The sequence below is a fragment of the Homo sapiens genome, chromosome 20 (genome assembly GCF_000001405.40).
Source record: "Homo sapiens chromosome 20, GRCh38.p14 Primary Assembly".
NCBI classification, from domain to species: Eukaryota; Metazoa; Chordata; class Mammalia; order Primates; family Hominidae; genus Homo; species Homo sapiens.
Window position 1 is genome coordinate 59,473,462 of NC_000020.11, and position 3,077 is coordinate 59,476,538.

The 3,077-nt window shown below is 41.7% G+C and overlaps 1 annotated feature.

Annotated features, from left to right (window-relative positions):
* Positions 2,489-2,650: a silencer, noted in NCBI's record as "fragment chr20:58051005-58051166 (GRCh37/hg19 assembly coordinates)". NCBI's record gives its function as "represses an EF-1alpha promoter that drives an FKBP-Casp9 reporter gene in an ReSE screen in K562 erythroleukemia cells {active_cell/tissue: K562}" and the evidence as "EXISTENCE:reporter gene assay evidence [ECO:0000049][PMID:32094911]".

Below are 3,077 nucleotides of genomic sequence, written 5' to 3' on the forward strand. Positions count from 1 at the left end.
CTGAGTGGTGTGGAGATACACAAAGACCAACCAAAGGAGAACAAGCTAAGGCAATTTATTCAGAGCTTGCTATAGCTAGGGGATCACCACCATCACATTGGTTTGGCAGAGACTCAAAGGCAGGCAGGGGAGTGGAGACAAGGGAAAGCTTCACGTGTGCCCTGATTGGAGGCTGTGCGCACAAGGAAGCTGAGACAGCTAACTAGAAGGCCATGCGTCTCCTGTGATTGACTAGGGATGCGTATTTGGCTTTCTCTGGTTGGTCCTAAGTTGCAACTGGGGACAGAAATTAGGGAAGCTGTCGGCTATTAGTCAAGTCCTAAAATCAGTTGGGGACTGATTGTTACCTGGGTTATTGTTTGACTTCCTAGATTATCTGCTAGAGATAATGATTCGACTTTCTACAAGTCTGACTTGTATGTAGTAGCCTGGCTTCCTGCACCAGTTGCCACCAATTATGGGCCAGAGTTTTGTATTTACATATGGTCAGGCCATGGTCCATTTGTATATTCAGTATCTCAGTGAGATGGAGCAAGAGGGTTGTTTTTCCTTAAAATATGTATTGAAATGTAATTCACATATACAATTCACCCACCTAAAGTGTACAATTCAGGGTTTTCTAGTATATTCACAGTTGTGTTGCCATCATACAATTTAATTTTAGAACATTTTTATCCTTCCCCGAAAGAAATCACATGTGTTAGAGTCACTCCTGCCTCCCTGCTGTGCCAGGCCTAAGCAACCACGAATCTACCTTCTGTCTCCATAGATACTTATTCTGGACTTTTCGTATGAATGGAATCATAAGCAAAAGCTTGATTTTCCATTGAAACAGCAGAGCCCTTAACTGCCCCCTCCCTGCCCATGGACGGTCTCTATCCTTGCCTGGAAGTGCCTTATGACAAACAGCTTCTGTTTACAGCGTCCAGTTCTCTGAGTTGTAATGCATGTACCCACCTATGTAACAAATAATGCACCTATAACCACCACCACAGTCAGAAGAACAAACATTTCCATCTCCTCCAAAATATTTCCTCTTGCCTTTTTGAGGCAGACAATGATACGCTTTTTGTCACTATAGATAAATTTTGTTTTTTCTTGATTTTTCACGCAAGTGGAATTATATGGACTTTTGATGTCTGCCTTCTTTCACCCTGAAAAGTGTTTTTTGAGATCCATTCATGTTTTGAGTGTATCTGTAACTGGTTAGCTTTTTATTGCTGAGCTGTGTTCTGTATGGAGATATGGGTACTTATTCACTCATCTGTTGATGGTCTGGTTTTCAACTATGAATTCAATTTCTTAGTTGATATAAACCTCACCTATTGATCTCTACTTTCCTTTGTTTCCAGTTTGGGCTATTATAAATAAAGTTGTTGTGAACATTCATGTGCTTTTTTTTTTTTTTTTTTTTTTTGAGACGGAATCTCATCCTGTCGCCCAGGCTGGAGTGCAGTGGCACGATCTCAGCTCGCTGCAACCTCCGCCTCCCGGATTCACGCCATTCTATTGCTTCAGCCTCCTGAGTAGCTGGGGCCACAGGCACCCACCACCACTCCCGGCTAATTTTTTTGTATTTTTAGTAGAGACGGGGTTTCACCGTGTTAGCCAGGATGGTCTCGATCCCCTGACCTAGTAATCCACCCACCTCAGCCTCCCAAAATGCTGGGATGACAGGCGTGAGCCACCGTGCCTGGCTGCTTATCTTTTTTGTTGACTTATGCTTCATTTTTCTTGTGACAACACTTAAACGAAGCCTCATGAAAATTAAAAACTTATTCATTTTTTATTTGTGGTCCGTGTATTTTGGATCAGATCTAAGACCTATGCTAAAGAGGTGATAAAGAAAAGCTTCAGCTGAATTAAATTTAAAATAGTTTAATTGAGCAATGAATGATTTGTGAATCAGGCACCTCCAGAATCACAGCAGATTCACACGGACTCCCGCAGGCAGGTGGTAGAAGAAGATTTATAGACAGAAAAAGGGAAATGACATCCAGAAATCGGCACTGAGGTACAGAAACAGCTGGGTTGGTTACAGGTTGGCGTTTGCCTTATTTGAACACAGTTTGAACACTCAGCACTCTATGAGTGGTTGAAGTATGGCTGCTGGGATTGGCCAAGACTCAGTTATTGTTACAGGCACATACTCCTAATTTAGGTTGTCAATCTTGTCTGACTATTAAGCTGGGTTACAGTTCACCCACAAGGACTCAAATATAGAAATCCAAAGTCCTTCTCAGGCCATATTTAGTTTGCTTTAACAGAGGTAAAGATGTTCTCCTTGGTTTCTTTTATTTATTTATTTTGAGACAGGGTCTCGCTCTGTCATCACGCAGCTGCAGCGGTGCGATCTCAACTCACTGCAACCTCTACCTCCTGAGTTCAAGTGATTCTCATGTCTCAGCCTCCCAAGTAGCTGGGATCCACAGCTGTGTGCCACCAGGCCTGGCTAATTTTTTTTGTGTGTGTGTTTTTAGTAGAGACAGCGTTTCACCAGGTTGGCCAGGCTGGTCTTGAACTCCTGGCTGCGAGCAATAAACCCACCTTGGCCTCCCAAAGTATTGGGATTACAGGCGAGAGCCATCGCGCCTGGCCCTTGGTTTCTTTTAGACACTTGGTAACATTGGCTTTTATATTTAGGTCTATGGTCAAATTTGAGTTTATTTCTCCATAGATTTTATGGTAAGGGGCCAAGTTTCCATTTTTTTTATATGAATATTCAGTTTTTCCAGCTCTGATTTTCTAAAAGATTATCCTTCCCTATGGAATTCCCTTTGTTCCTTACAAAAAATCAGTTGACCATGTATGTAAGGATCTAGTTCTGAGCTCACACTTCTAGTCCTTTGATCTATTTGTCTGTCTTCATTGCAATACCGCATTGTCTTGATTACTGCCTTTCAAAAACTGGTGAAGTCAGGTAGTTTAAGTTCACCCATTTGTTCTTGTGTTTCAAAGTTGTTTTGCCTATTCTAGGTCTTTTGTATTTCCACATAAATTTTAGACTTAGCTTATTACATTTACAAAAAGAGTCTGCTGAGGTTTGGATTGGGGTTGCTTTAAATCTACAGATAAAT